Source organism: Homo sapiens (assembly GCF_000001405.40).
Source record: "Homo sapiens chromosome 16 unlocalized genomic scaffold, GRCh38.p14 Primary Assembly HSCHR16_RANDOM_CTG1".
Classification (NCBI taxonomy): domain Eukaryota; kingdom Metazoa; phylum Chordata; class Mammalia; order Primates; family Hominidae; genus Homo; species Homo sapiens.
The window spans coordinates 1,027,675-1,044,165 of record NT_187383.1 but is presented as its reverse complement, the minus strand read 5'-3'; the positions used below and the strand labels follow the sequence as shown (position 1 = coordinate 1,044,165).

The 16,491-nt window shown below is 43.8% G+C and overlaps 1 pseudogene across 1 annotated transcript in view; it reads right to left on the bottom strand.

The window, feature by feature from the left end:
* Positions 1-6,547: 6,547 nt before the first annotated feature.
* The window catches only part of LOC102723753 (HECT and RLD domain containing E3 ubiquitin protein ligase 2 pseudogene), a 35,989-nt pseudogene continuing 26,045 nt past the window's right edge, over positions 6,548-16,491 (bottom strand). The window contains exons 19-25 of the transcript NR_135178.1: positions 13,579-13,766; positions 12,054-12,246; positions 11,164-11,346; positions 8,252-8,433; positions 7,280-7,427; positions 6,885-7,081; positions 6,548-6,780 (exon numbers count right to left, since the gene is read on the bottom strand). The product of NR_135178.1 is annotated as an HECT and RLD domain containing E3 ubiquitin protein ligase 2 pseudogene (transcript). The remainder of the gene's footprint in view (positions 6,781-6,884; positions 7,082-7,279; positions 7,428-8,251; positions 8,434-11,163; positions 11,347-12,053; positions 12,247-13,578; positions 13,767-16,491) is intronic.

Genomic DNA, 16,491 nt, shown 5'->3' with positions numbered 1-16,491 from the left:
TTTCATATGTTACTACATAGAGATAGAGAAGTGGATAGATTAATTTGCATATGCATAGAGAAAGCATAAAATAGAATTTACTATCATATTAAAGGAATTTTAATTCAACAATAAAATAATTCAAAGGTAAAATTTTAAATATTTTTAACAGGTACATTATTAGTATTAGATAATATTTATAATAATTGTGAAAATATTCAGCGCTAAAATAAGATACAATGTCTAAACATCAGTATTAAAACTAGTATAAATATTTGCTTGTTTATACAAGGAAAATTCAAGCTCAACCTCAAATTATAAGGGAAATAAAAGAAAAATATTAAGGGAGCTCTTTAATGACATAAACATATATATATAAACACACACATATTACATGTATATATGTTATATGGGATAGATATAGATTTAACAGGTTATATCTATATTTGTATCTGTAACTACAGCTGTATGTATCCACATTTCTATATATTTACTCAGTGATATAAATGTAGACTGGAATAAATATAAAGACACATATGATTCTTGAATAAAAAGGATTTAGTATCATAAAGACAAATTCTTTCCAAATTCACTTATGAATTCACAACAATATACAGTTTCATTAGTATAATTTAATATTTCTAAATAAATTCCAAGATTCATTTAAAGGAATATACATGTATACAAGCAGTCGAGAAAGAAGCAAGAGGGCACTAAACTAACTTGCTATTAAAATACATTTTTAAACTTAGTCACTAAAACTGAGCAGTACTGATTTGGAGTACTGGAATTTAGGTGTATGGGATCTCAAAAGCACAGAGCTCAAAGGAGGCCCCTGTATGCACGAGAGCTTAGGATGTGCTTTAGAAGGCATTACCAAACCTCGGGCAAAGTTACTTTAGTGTCTTAGTCTTACTAGGTTTGAAAAGCCAGAGAAAAGACTCAAGACCACCATATAAGAGCAAAACAAAAGGACAGGGAGAGAATGTGAAGATACTGAAACATTTTACATAAAGTTGTATAAAACATCCTTTAAAGAAAATATAAACTTTAGGATATACATCAAAATCAGCAGAGCCACTATATAAATAAATAGGCATTGTAAAATAACAAGAGAAAATTTAAATGGATTTCTAAAAAATATTGACACCTATGATTTTTAAAATATGTTTAAGAAATCCCGTATTTCACAGGGCAGCCTTTCACAACACAGATATGTTAGGACATAAAGGTCCTTCTGTTTTTAATTTACTAGTGTTTATAGGGTTACAAATGTCTTCTACACTTGTCTTTTGTCTGATGGTGCAAAAAATTTTCATAAGCATGTATTTCTGAATGCCTGATGGATTGACATATATAATAAGCTGCTAGTATTAAAATATGAGACGGAAAACGCATCCAATCTTCTCACTGTTTACGTAAATTCTAGGTTTCTCCTCTTTACCTCAAGCACATATGGATCGAATTCTTACCTTTTAATATTGCCATGGCATTCACATTGAACATAAGTTGAACTCTCTCATATGGTAGCTGGGTTCGGATTCTCTTGACAATTTCCAGTTCTAACCTTCACAGTTCCTCAGTGTGGTTGGCCCAGATATTGACCCTACACAGTTGTCTCCTCGTGGTGACTACCAGCTATGGAATCGTTGGATACAACCTACCTGACTCACCCCACAGACTTCACAGCACACATGGACAGCACCCACATGCCACAGTAACCAGCTCGGTTGCAGCGGGAGTCAAGAAATGTGCCTGCTGGCACTCACCCTACTGACTAGTACCCCGTGGAAAACTTATTTGGGTAATGTTCTGGGCCAAATAATGGCTGGAGTCCCACAGACCCCTTTTCTGTCTCCTGCTCCCCACTCATCTTCCCCATTTTGTTCAGCCCTATGAGGTGTGCTACTGTATCAGTCCATTTTCACACTGCCGGTAAAGACATGCCCAAGACTGGGTAATTTCCAGAAGAAAGAGGTTTAATAGACGCACGATTCCACATGGCTGGGTAGGCCTCACAATCATGCCGCAAGCTGAAAGGCACATCTCACATGGCAGCAGACAAGACAAGAGAGATTGTGCAGGGAAACTCCCCTTTATAAAACCATCAGATCTTGTGAGACTTATTCACTATCAGAAGAACAGCATGGGAAAGACCTGCCCCCGTGATTCAATTACCTCCCACCTGTTCCCTCCCACAACATGTGGGAAATCAAGATGAGATTTGGCTGGGGACACAGCTAAACCCTCTTCTCAGCTACCCTCTTCTCTCTGGATCTGTGAGTAATAAACCTACTTCTGTGATTTCCCATGTTTGGTTCTGTGGCCTCCATGTGTCTGAGCTGACCTACACTGGAACCTAACTCTCTTCCTGGCCAGGGTCTCTGAGAGTGGCTCTTGTCAGAAATACACAGGACACAAGTCAGGCAACAGTCACTAGGCATCTCCTAGTCTCAACAGATGTTCTGTGAGAGGGAGGCCTGGCCGTGGGATGCACACCTGGCCACTGCTGGGGTAAGGAAGTGTCCTGTGAAAGGCACATGTTAAGCATCCACAACCCCCTGACCAGAACCCCAGAAAGGCAGGGCTCCAATTGACAGTCACTCTCCAGAGACAAACCTCAAGCCCTAACTGGAGGAAAAGAAAACAATGTAAAAAGTTCAATTTATCTTACTATTTTAATGATCCAGTAAAGACATTCTATGCCTGTACACCACATATTTTCTTCAATTGTGGATTTATTTTAGATAGAATTTTAGGTCTGGCTTTCACTTTAGCCTGGTCCCTACCTCAAGCATAAGGTAAAGATTTTCCATGCGTTCTTTTCTCGTACTACTACCTGCCAGTGTGGGGTCATGTCCTAGTCTATCTTGAGGGAATCCCCCTGTTCATTATTGTCAGAGTGAGACTGTTAAGTCTTGATTTCCCTGGACAACTTCACTGCATGACTTTTAATATGATTTTTTAATATACCCTTTACTGGAAAATAAATTCTATAGTTATCTGAGTAAGAGATATGGTCAGGAAGAGGCATTGCCTCATTCAGCTTTTCTCTTTGGTGAACTCGCATATGTTCTCCTCACCCGCCAGTCACCTCTAAACCGTATTGTTCCAAGACAACAAACAGAACTCGAGTGTGTATCTTTCACCACTGGATTTGTGTTTGCTCCATAAAGCTTCATGCTTAACAGAGTTTCCGTTAGCATTTTCTCTATTTATTTTCCCATAAAATATCACAGGCCTTCTTCATATGGAATTATGGGTGATTTCCTTCAATCTGCATCATATCAAGTTGAGGTTCATGTTGATGAAAAGTAAAACATACATTGAAAATATCAGTAAGGATGTTTTCCCCTCCTTTTTAGCACCTGTGCTTGTGATACAAGCACATTTTAATACAACTGTACTCTCATGCTTTGATCATTCCTATGATGAAAATAACATTTTTAGATAAAATATCTGAGTTTTATGAGGCCTTTAGTATGTGATGTGATAGAATATCAGAAGACCATACTTTTTTCTAGTTGTCCGTGCAATTCTATCATTGTTTCATCTTTACTCCTACCAGAGTAATTTTCCAAAATACATATCTTGTCATTCTTCCTGTTGTTATCAGTAAAAAAGTGAAATGAAAAGCTAGATTATATAATTTATCTACAACAAGAAAGTAGAATTGAATCTATATTCATTAATGAGTCTAACCAGTCAATTACACAGACAGGCATTTTACATTTTGAAGATCATATGGACCCACTGTCAGAAATATTATTTTTTATGTCTATATGGACATCACCTGTGCATATTTACATAGAAATCAATGAGAGTTGATTTTTATTATTATATATATTTTTTGAGATGGGGTCTTCCTTTGTTGCCTAGGCTGGAGTGCAGTGGTGCAATCGCTACACAAATCAATAAATGTAATCCAGCATATAAACAGAGCCAAAGACAAAAACCACATGATTATCTCAATAGATGCAGAAAAGGCCTTTGACAAAATTCAACAACCCTTCATGCTAAAAACTCTCAATAAATTAGGTATTGATGGGAGGTATTTCAAAATAATAAGAGCTATCTATGACAAGCCCACAGCCAATATCACACTGAATGGGCAAAAACTGGAAGCATTCCCTTTGAAAACTGGCACAAGACAGGGATGCCCTCTCTCACCACTCCTATTCAACAAAGTGTTGGAAGTTCTGGCCAGGGCAATTAGGCAGGAGAAGGAAATAAAGGGTATTCAATTAGGAAAAGAGGAAGTCAAATTGTCCCTGTTTGCAGATGACATGATTGTATATCTAGAAAACCCCATTGTATCAGCCCAAAATCTCCTTAAGCTGGTAAGCAACTTCAGCAAAGTCTCAGGATACAAAATCAATGTACAAAAATCACAAGCATTCTTATACACCAACAACAGACAAACAGAGAGCCAAATCATGAGTGAACTCCCACTCACAATCGCTTCTAAGAGAATAAAATACCTAGGAATCCAACTTACAAGGGATGTGAAGGACCTCTTCAAGGAGAACTACAAACCACTGCTCAAGGAAATAAAAGAGGATACAAACAAATGGAAGAACATTCCCTGCTCATAGGTAGGAAGAATCAGTATCGTGAAAATGGCCATACTGCCCAAGGTAATTTACAGATTCAATGCCATCCCCATCAAGCTACCAATGCCTTTCTTCACAGAATTGGAAAAAACTACTTTAAAGTTCATATGGAACCAAAAAAAGAGCCCGCATCACCAAGTCAATCCTAAGCCAAAAGAACAAAGCTGGAGGCATCACACTACCTGACTTCAAACTATACTACAAGGCTACAGTAACCAAAACAGCATGGCACTGGTACCAAAACAGAGATATAGATCAATGGAACAGAACAGAGCCCTCAGAAATAACGCTGCATATCTACAACTATCTGATCTTTGACAAACCTGAGAAAAACAAGCAATGGGGAAAGGATTCCCTATTTAATAGATGGTGGTGGGAAAATTGGCTAGCCATATGTAGAAAGCTGAAACTGGATCCCTTCCTTACACCTTATACAGAAATCAATTCAAGATGGATTAAAGACTTAAATGTTAGACCTAAAACCATAAAAACCCTAGAAGAAAACCTAGGCATTACCATTCAGGACATAGGCATGGGCAAGGACTTCATGTCTAAAACACCAAAAGCAATGGCAACAAAAGACAAAATTGACAAATGGGATCTAATTAAACTAAAGAGCTTCTGCACAGCAAAAGAAACTACCATCAGAGTGAACAGGCAACCTACAAAATGGGAGAAAATTTTCACAACCTACTCATCTGACAAAGGGCTAATATCCAGAATCTACAATGAACTCAAACAAATGTACAAGAAAAAAACAAACAACCCCATCAAAAAGTGGGCGAAGGACATGAACAGACACTTCTCAAAAGAAGACATTTATGCAGCCAAAACACACATGAAAAAATGCTCACCATCACTGGCCATCACAGAAATGCAAATCAAAACCACAATGAGATATCATCTCACACCAGTTAGAATGGCAATCATTAAAAAGTCAGGAAACAACAGGTGCTGGAGAGGATGTGGAGAAATAGCAACACTTTTACACTGTTGGTGGGACTGTAAACTAGTTCAACCATTGTGGAAGTCAGTGTGGCGATTCCTCAGGGATCTAGAACTAGAAATACCATTTGACCCAGCCATCCCATTACTGGGTATATACCCAAAGGACTATAAATCATGCTGCTATAAAGACACATGCACACGTATGTTTATTGCGGCATTATTCACAATAGCAAAGACTTTGAACCAACCCAAATGTCCAACAATGATAGACTGGATTAAGAAAATGTGGCACATATACACCATGGAATACTATGCAGCCATAAAAAACGATGAGTTCATGTCCTTTGTAGGGACATGGATGAAATTGGAAATCATCATTCTCAGTAAACTATCGCAAGAACAAAAAACCAAACGCCGCATATTCTCACTCATAGGTGGGAATTGAACAATGAGATCACATGGACACAGGAAGGGGTACATCACACTCTGGGGACTGTTGTGGGGTGGGGGGAGTGGGGAGGGATAGCACTGGGAGATATACCTAATGCTAGATGACAAGTTAGTGGGTGCAGCGCACCAGCATGGCACATGTATACATATGTAACTAACCTGCACAATGTGCACATTTACCCTAAAACTTAAAGTATAATAATAAAAGAAAAAAAAAAACTTTAAAAAAAAGTTTTTTTAAAACTTGAGTTGTTCAATAAAAAGTAAACTTCATAAATTCACATTTTAAAATAATTAGAACTACCTCATAGACGCACGGTACCTTCTAGGTTGCTAAAGCCCTCTTCATGTCTCTGAGGCTGAAAAACACAGGAACCACTGCTTTAGGTGCCCTGTGAGACAGGCCCTGCTCACCACAGAAGCGCAAGCTCACACAGCTTCCTAGAAGGCAAACTTGAAGTACCAGAATCAAGTTCTTTCAAGTGCTAATGTTGGTGCTGGGTCCTAGTGTAAAGCCAATTTCCCTTATCATACAGTAACTGAGCACAAGTTCACCTACTGGTTTCAGCTGATTCAATGGGCAAATGTGACACGTCCGCATGTCAGAGAACTGCACGGTGATTTTGCCCTTCGGGGTGATGCCAGTCACAGTGCCTTCTCCAAACTCATCGTGCACAATTTGGCCGCCCAGGCACAGGCGACCATCGATGCCTCCAATCACAGCCAGGACCGCCATGAGGCCCCCCACTTCAGGGTTCTCGGAGTCGGGGAAGTAGTCCTCTAACTGGGCCTAGTGCAGACCAAACAGTGAGCTCGACCAGGGACACTCACGGAGCTGCCCAATCCCTACAAGTTTACTGTTCAACTAAATTAATTCTGAGAACACAAACTCACCCCTTCAGAAGGCCTTCCCGCAAAGCTGTGGGTGATGGAGCGGAGCTGGGAGTTGATGTACTTGTTGATGAGCCCATTCCACTGAGTCAGGGAGTGCAGCGTGCACAGCAGTGCCACCACCACCTCCACCAGTGTGCTGCTATGGGTGGCAGTCAGCAAGGCCTGCGGGCGCACCCTGCGCCACCTCGGCATGGACTCTGAGGAGGAAACAAGGGGAGAAGCTGCTGCACTGCTCTTCACCAGGACACAGGGAAGGGAGACGGCCACCGACCTCTGAGTGATGGCACTGTGCCGCAATTCACCAGGGCACAGGGAAGGGAGACAGCCACCCACCTCTGAGTGATGGCACTGTGCCGCTCTTCACCAGGGCATGGGGAAGGGAGACGGCCACCCACCTCTGAGTAATGGCACGTCAGAGGAGCAGGTAGTGAGCAAGCTCCCCAAGAAGTCAAACAGCTTCTCCACCAGGCATTTCATGTCCCTCGCCCTTTTGGTCTTGTCCCATGACCGAAGGACTGCTTGCAACAAATGCACAGCTAAGATCTGATAAAAGAAAACTTAAAATAACAAGCATTAAAAATCTGATTAAGAAACTACAGACTGTTACTTTCTCTTTTCTTTCTTTTTTTTTTTTTTTTTTTTTTTGAGACAGAGTCTCGCACTGTCACCCGGGCTGGAGTGCAGTGGCACGGTCTCGGCTCACTACAACCTCCACTTCCCAGGTTCAAGCGATTCTCCTTGCCTTAGCTTCCTGAGTAGCTGGGATTACAGGCACCCACCACCAAGCCCGGCTCATTTTTCTTGGATTTTTAGTAGAGACAGGATTTCACTATGTTGGCCAGGCTGGTCTCAAACTCCTGACCTCATGATCCACCTGCCTCGGCCTCCCAAAGTGCTGGGATTACAGGCATGAGCCACTGCGCCCAGCCTCTCTTTATTTTCTGTTCTCATAATGCAAATAATCATGTGAAAATTTTGAGATTCGTTATTTTACAGCCAGGTAATTACACTCAAGTTGATTAGTGATTAGGATTGTCAGGGACTTTAGAAAAAAGCAACATTACAGATGCATGTGTTTAATTAAAAAAGAATTATTTTTAGTTTAATTCTTAAGACAATTATGCTACAAATTCTGTGAAGCAGATGAGCAAGTAGTTGCAGGATTTACCACTTAAAAGCAGGTAAACTAAAGGTTAGTAACTTACCAATTATCAAGGACCACTGCCCCTTGCCTCCAGAAAATCTACCCTGTTACTTCTAGACCCTTTCTGCACTCCTTACTGAATAAAGGCCCGACTCTAAGGGCAGGGAACTTCAGTACATGGATGCCTCTCTCAGGGAACTGGTTTTGCCTGGCAGCACGTTACCTGCCTCTGCAGCGAGGCGGCAGGGAAGGGTGCGTGCCCTTTCATGACCTTCATGAGCAGCGTGATCCACTGCGGGGAGCTGAGGGCGCCGCACACCTGCGGCGTGAGAGCGATGCTCCGCACAAACCCCAGCATGCACCAGCTCCGGTGTTGCTCCCTGTACACCAGCCTGTTTGGAGAAGCTGCGGGAGGGAAAATAGACATGCTTGGTAACAAGTCCCTAAAGACAAATCCCTAAAGATAAATCCTTATTTTTTTATCAACTTATTTTATTTTCTACAATAAGCTCCTTTAAAATATATTGCAGTTTGTAAATTAATTCAAACTAATTCAAAGTGAGAAGTGCAAGAAGGCTTTTAAGGTAGTTCAAGAAACATTTCCGCATTTTTGTTTTTTTTTTTTTTTTTTTTTTTTTTTTTTTAAGAGATGGGCCCTGCCCTCACTACGTTGCCCAGGCTGGTCTAAAACTCCTTCAAGTGATTCTCCTGCCTTGCCCTGCTGAATAGCTGAGACTACAGGTATTTTTAAAACCTTCTAAGTATGTGTAGTAAAAGTAGTTAGGGAATTTTAGCTATGTATTGTTTCTAGGCAATAAGAAAATGATCTATAATTCAAATAGCAGTAATTTGCAACAGTGTATCTACTGTATTTTTAATTTTGTGTTTTAAATATCTCCACAATCTTGCTTATATTTAATCTGCACCACTTAAATACTTTTTTTGCATTTTTAGTAGAGACAGTTTCCAATCCAAGTTTAATACATCTGCATTAACAAAATGAGTTTTTCACTAGGTTTACACCACTGGATTCTGGCACCAGTGGGCCCACCTCTGCTCCGCCTGGCTCCAGGACTCCATTACTCCCTGAATGGAGGCTGAGGCTTGGAGGCTGGGCCCCCCTAAGGGACCCCGCCCACAGCCCCACAGGACCTGCTCTCGCCTCCCACCTCCCACCCGCCCACCTCCCCCGCCCTCAGCTATCCAAGCTTTTGAGGACACCTGCCTTCCTTCAGCATACTCACATGCGCTCACACACACACACTCTCACACCCTCACATGCATCCTCACACCCACACCAAGTTATTCAGACACACTCATGGGCACTCACACACCCACCCTCACACAGGTGCACTCACACCACTGTCGCAATCACTAACACACACAATCCCAGTCACACGTATGCACACACAACCTAAGATGCAATCTGACACACACTCCTATGCACTCTCACATACACTTACCCCTCCCACTGCATACAAAAACTCACATATGCACTCACACTCAACACTAGTCACAACCGATTCCTCACCCACTCACACCTTTACCCACTTTCTCACTTTACACTCACACCTACACCCACTTCCTCACTTTACTCACACCTACACTGTTACCTCCCACTGACACAAGCAAAATGCTCACATTCGCTCACACGCCTTCACAATAACGTCACTCGTGCTCACACTGATTCAAGGCACTCATACACATTTACACAAATGCTCACAATCGCACACTTACACTTGTGCTGCCACCCATACTTCCTCACACTCATCAAGCCTCACTGACTTACACTTCATCTCATTGGCACACCCAGTAATCCCCTCACACTCACACTCATGCCTCCCTCGTGCTCACCCTCACACACACACTGGCTCAATGCACTGACGCTTTCACTCCCACTTCACCTGACTGTAGTCACCTGCCCACTCACATGCTGTCACGGACATACACACCACTCACATAAATGCATGCATACATACACCCACACAACCACATGCTACAAACACACTGTCACACTTGCAACACAAACGCTCAGCCACTTGCCCATCAACCGCTAACACACTCTCACCAATATGTGCAGATGCTCCAGCACACCACTAATACATGCATGTTCTCACACACACTGGAGCACACCCACATACCCACCCTCACATGTGCTCACTCTCAGTCGCATGCACACTCACCCCACTCCCTCAGCTCACATTTCTCATACTTACTCTCCACACACACAAACACTTTATGGATTAAACTGTGCCTGTCCCCCAACTTCACATACATTCGGAACTCAGAATATGATCTTATTTAATGAGGTCTCTGTAGACGTCCTTAAGGTAAGAATTTAGGTGACATCATGTTGGATTAGAGTCAAAGAAGCTCAATGAAAGAGTCCTTTCAGAGACAGAAAAAGACATGCAGAACACAGGGGCAGGGGCCATGTGAAGACGCAGGCCTCTGAGACTGGCACAATGCGTCCCCACACCAGGGAAGCCTGGAGCTCCCAGAAGCTGGATAAGGTAAGGAAGGACCTTCCCCTAGAGCCTGTGGAGGGAGCATGGCCCTGCCCGCACCTGGATTTGGGACTTCTGGTCTCCAGAACTCTGAGAGAACAAATTTGTTGTTTGAAGCCAGTGTTATGGGTTGAATTCAGAATTGCAAAATTCGTATGTTGAAGCCCTAACCCCTACCATACCTCGGCAGGTGACCTTGTTTGGAAATAGGGCCGCTGCAGATGTAATCAGTTTGATGAGGTTGAATGATGTCCTTATGAAAAGGGGAGATTTGGAGGTGACTCACACACAGGGAGAATGCCATGTGAAGATGATGGCAGAGATCAGGGTGACCCCTCTACAAGCCGAGGAACGCTAAAGAGGCCAGCAAACTCCAGAAGCTGGGGCAGAGCCCTGAAGCAGCTTCTCCCTCACAGCCCCAGAAGGAACCACCCTTGATCTCAGTCTTCCAACCACCAGAATCATGAGAATTTCTACTGCGTAAGCCCCCAAGTTTGTAGTACTTTGTTACAGCAGCCACAGGAAATGAATCCACACACATCCACACCCACCCACATGCACACCCGGACACGACAAGCGTGCGGCCCCCAGCGCTGACTCCCTGGGCCTTCAATCTCTCATTCCATGCGTGTCTTGTCCGTCGTTCCGCTTTCCACTAATATTTGCAGCAGTCCGCATAAAGTCTTGGTGGCTTCGCTCTGCATGATCTCAGCATGAACTCTGGCAGGCAGACAAAGAGTCTGCAGTAAGTTAATAGTGCTGGTAAACATCATTGTAGTGGGGTGAATGTTCCTTTCAGTTTGTTCAGCTTCTAAAAAAAATAATCAAAATAACAAATTATATTGGCAGCCCCAGCCTCTTGGATGGTCTTACCAAGCCCAGCCATGTGAAGCTTCGCATGTCTTTTAGGAACAGCTAAGAAATGTCATGAAACCTCCTCCCACAACCTGGATCTCCACAGATAGGATCTAGCTTTCTTGGTCCACCCCTAAATTCTCACCTCTGCTTCCCTAGAAGCAATAAAGTGCTGACTAACTCCACATTACTTGAAGAGTTCAGAGTCAGGGACCGCAGAGGAAAGGTAAAGACAGGTGGCAGGTTGGGTGTGCTCAGGCGGGGGCTCTCACTGGAGGAGGAGGCAATGGACCGAGACCGCAGGGCAATTCCACCAGGCCTCGGCTCACTCGCTCAGATGCAGGCTCAGCACCAACCACATGAGACTCACTGGTGGTGCAGCTGCCCCGACCTGGCCACCACATTCTCAAAGAGGGGCAGGTGCACACGTGAGAGGAAAATGCAGAAAGTCAGTTCCAGACAGATCGCCGGATCCCACAGCCACTCCATGCACCTGCATCGGAGGTGCCTGGGAGCTTATTTAAATGGCAGGTTCCGAGGACAGAGTGCCAGCTGCAGGTGCGTCCTGACATCCCATTCTAAGGCCCAGATGGCAGTGGTGGCAGCCAGCACCTGGACAGTTTGTGGGCTGCCTTGGACTAAAGGCCTTCCTGAGTCACCCACCAGAGTCGTCCTCTGTGTCCGAATCCTCTGCTGAGGGCTGTGCAGCGGCCGGCAGCTCTGCCAGCTTGAGGTCGTATTTTCCTTCTTTCCCCATCCTGTAGGAGTTGGTGCTGCCCGTGCCCCACTGGACTCTTATCCACCCGTCCTCTCCCAGCTCACCAATCACTCGGCCTAGGCCTGGAGGAGGCCCATCCTGACAAAGCCCAAGTAGAGATCAGTTAGGAGGGTGCGTGCCTTGCCCTGGTCCTTCCATGGCTCCCAGCAGACCTCAGTTAGGCGGGTGCGTGCCCTGCCCTGGTCCTTCCATGGCTCCCAGCAGACCTCAGTTGGGAGGGTGCGTGCCCTGCCCTGGTCCTTCCATGGCTCCCACCAGACCTCAGTTGGGAGGGTGCGTGCCCTGCCCTGGTCCTTCCATGGCTCCCACCAGACCTCAGTTAGGAGGGTGCGTGCCCTGCCCTGGTCCTTCCATGGCTCCCACCAGACCTCAGTTAGAAGGGTGCGTGCTCTGTCCTGGTCCTTCCATGGCTCACACCAGACCTGCCACACAGATGTCGCCATATGCCACCCTGTCTGTCAGGGGCTGTCCCCAGACACAGATTTCACCTCTCCTACAAAATGTGTGCTTGCATCATTTTAAATTAAATGGCATAAAATAACGTGCTCATGCTGCTTTACCAAGGAAGTAGGGGAAATCTCATCTCAATGAGGATCCTCTGAGTTAATGCACAGACAGGGCTTTGCAGCAAGTCCTGACCCCTCAATCCCTCACCGGCCTTGCAAGAGCAGAAACCTGAAACAAGTACCAGCACCTGCACATTCCCTTTTCTTCAGTTTCCTCCGGGCCCCAGGGGGAAGCTCTGTCTCTCACTTCTGTAGGAGAAAGCTGTTTCTAGGATGGATGCTGCTGTCTCCAGACACTGCTATTTCTAAGATGACTGTGACAAAGCCGGGGCTTACTAGCGTGGCTGAGAAAAGCTAGACAGACCATGGGAAGGTGAACACTGCCCTAACTTAGCTAGGGCTGTGGTAAGTGACTTCCACCTGGGGGCACCTGGCAGCGATTTAGAAGACACCTGCGATGAGGGAAAATGGAGACATGGCCACAGGCCCATGAAGTATATCCCTAACTACTGGGTTCAGGGCACTTCGCAGCACGTGGCCATCAGCTCACAGGGGCAGAATCTGGGCTTCCTGCCTCAGAGCCTTCACTACACCAACTTTCAGAATGAGATTTACTCTCTTGCTCACTCTCACTCTTGTTCCAGTGACCCATCAAACTGAGCCTCATGCCAGTGAGTTTCCTGAAAAGAGCTGCCTCTCTTTCCAGACTTGATTCTGCTCAGATGCCCTACTTATGATTCCCTATTTGTGTTCACTCCCTTCAGCAGCTCGGGAACCAACACCTGTGTCATCTATCAACCGACACATCCTGGATTATTCCAATTTCCACCCACCAGTATCGTACAGACCTGTGCAGAAGATAACTAATGTGTGGCTAATGTGTTCACATCAAATCTCTGAGTACCTGATCGCCCCATTTCCAGTCCACACCTCTCATGACCCTCGTTCCAATCTTCATCGTGGCAGCCAGTTCTGGCCCTGAAACAGGGAGATGCACAGGAGCCGTTTCCTTCCTTGTTGCTTCCAAAACTGTGGCAGAAACACCTTGAGCAGAAGCATTCATATCTTCCTCAACATTGTCACAACTGGGGCCTGACAGAGCATCAAAAACAATAGCTGAGCCAACAAGTAGCTACAATGTCCCTTTAATACACACAAAACATTTAAAAAATACTAATGAAGATCATAATGTTTTGAAGAATCCATACTATATGTTTATCAATATAATACTATGAATATTTTACTGATATACGATAAAAAGAAGGTAAACGGAAGGACAAAATACATAAATATCCTAGGAAGATATAAAAGATATTAAAATGCTCAGTAAAGCTACTTTCTCTACTTCTAGGAATTACTCCCCCGTAAAAAGCAAAATAACTGAGTTAGAAAGATACTCATCACATTTTTTATTAATAGAAAAACAAAGATAACTACCTAAATATCTAACAGTGGGAAACTGACAAACTTTAATCATGGTTCTGTGCAGAAGACAGCTAACAGCTGGCCCGAGATACAACCTCAGACAGGATTGCTGCAGGCTAGCCCTCGGCTGGAGTCTGGATTTCAGGAGGGCTCCCCAATTCCCTAGGTGATAGTTGTGGTTCGCTGTGCCTGAATTGACTGTACAAACAACATGGTCTGTGCTGAAACCTGCTTTCCTTGTTCTGGAACTTGGTATGCACCAGGCACGGGGTGCCCATGTGGTCAGCCCTGATGGAAACCCTGGGCCTGGAGTCTCTACCCAGCTTCCCGGCAGACAGCACTTGACATGGCTCGGTGCCGGGGCAGTTATGCTCGTCCTGTGTGGATCCTGTGGAAGCTTGTACCTGCTTTCCTCTGGACTTTACACACGTCCTTTTTCATGATTTTGCTCTGTGTCCCTTCACTGTAATAAACTATAGCCCTGAGTACAACTACATGCTGAGTCTTGTGAGTCCTCCTGGCCAACCATCAAACCTGGAGACCCCTGACAATTGGTGCCCTGGGTGGCTACAGAGTCATCCATAGCATGAAACAGAAGCTGAGCTGCTGTCACCTGAGAGAAGTAAAACTTACCAATGGATTTGAAAATAGGAGAGCTAACCCTAGGAGAGTAGGCTAGATTTTTAACCCCCCTTTTCTCACTTGCTAAACTGAGAGCGGGTAGGAGTGCGGTTCTGGTAACTCCCTTGATTTTAGTTTTCTCCTCCAGGTGGGAGGGAAAAAGATCCAAACGGTCCCAAAGGTGGGCTTGGGTGAGCCAAAAAATGTAAAAAGTTTGTGTTTCTCTCTCTTCCAAGAGAGCAAAAAAGGATATTCAATTCCCAGGGCTGGAGCAAAACTTTAGATAAACTAGCGGGGGAAACAGCCTTTCCTTTAGCCTAGCCGCTACTTTAGGGCTCCCAGGAAGGGGCCCCAAGGAAGGGACAGGAGTTGCATTCCAGGTGGATCTCCCAGGATCCCCTGGGCAGCTATACTGTTAACTCTGTAAAGACTGAATTTATTGCTAAGGGCTTGAATAAATTTGCAACCAAAACTGGGGGAAATTTTTTATTTTACATAGCTTTATGTTTTGTGGCTGTTACATGTGGATGTACACATTAAGCTGGTATAAAATATTATATGCTTATAATTTCTTAAATGATAAGAAGGATACCCTGATCAGGGCAAGCTGCAAATATAGACGGATATTCATGAGACACAACTTCCTTGCTTTTTGCAGCCAGTGGGCCAGATGAAATTTAAACACATGAATACTATCAACAGAACAAGTCCCCATACTTAATGATTTGTGCTGTGATTTTTACTTATTGGAACCTCTGGGGAAAAAGCAGACAACATAAAAAGGCCATTTCTCGATGGAGATATGCTTCTGTAATTTTTAAATGTAACTTTTGGTTGCTAATGAGGCCTCAAGAAATCAGATATAACTCTTACTAGATGATTCTTTTCAGCTGTAATACACATATTAAAATATATATTTAACATAATACAACATATAAATATAATATATAAATTAAAAAATAATTATATACATATATATATAGAGAGAGAGAGAGAGAGAGACAAACTGACAGACAGACAGACAGAAAGATTCCCCCCACCCCCAAGACAGGATTTCACTCTGTCGCCCAGGCTGGAGTGCAGTGGCTTGATCTCCGCTCACTGCAACCTCTGCCTCCCTGGCTCAAGCAATCCTCCCACCTCAGCCTCCCAGGTAGCTGGGACCACAGGCACACACCACTATGCCAAGCTAATTTTCATATTTTTTATAGAGACAGGGTTTCGCTATGTTGCCCAAGTTGGTCTCAAACTCCTGAGCTCAAGCAATCCACCCGCCTCAGCCTCCCAAAGTGCTAGGATTACAGCCTGGCCTGATACGTATTTTTGAATGGATTAATGTGAACTCTAAGACTGATGTGATTAAAAGAGCTTGGGAAAACCTTGCTTTTTCACTGTGACTTTGACAACGGGCCCTGCAGCATCTCAGTTTTAGCCAAAGAACACCACCATAAACCAATCAGATCTAATAGACATATACAGAACATTTCACCAAAAAGAGCAGAATAAACATTATTCTCAAGTATACCACAGAACACTCTCTTAGACTGACCAGACCATATGTTAGGCCACAAAGTCTCAAATTTAAACAGACTAAAATCATACAAATTACCTTCTCCAACCAAAATGAAATGATGAGAAATTAATAACAAAAGGAAAAGTGGAAAATTCACAAGTATATGAAAATTAAACAACACACGGTAAACAATCAGTGGGTCAAAGAAGAAATCACAAGGGAGATTAGAAAATACTATGAGATGAATGAAAACACAAC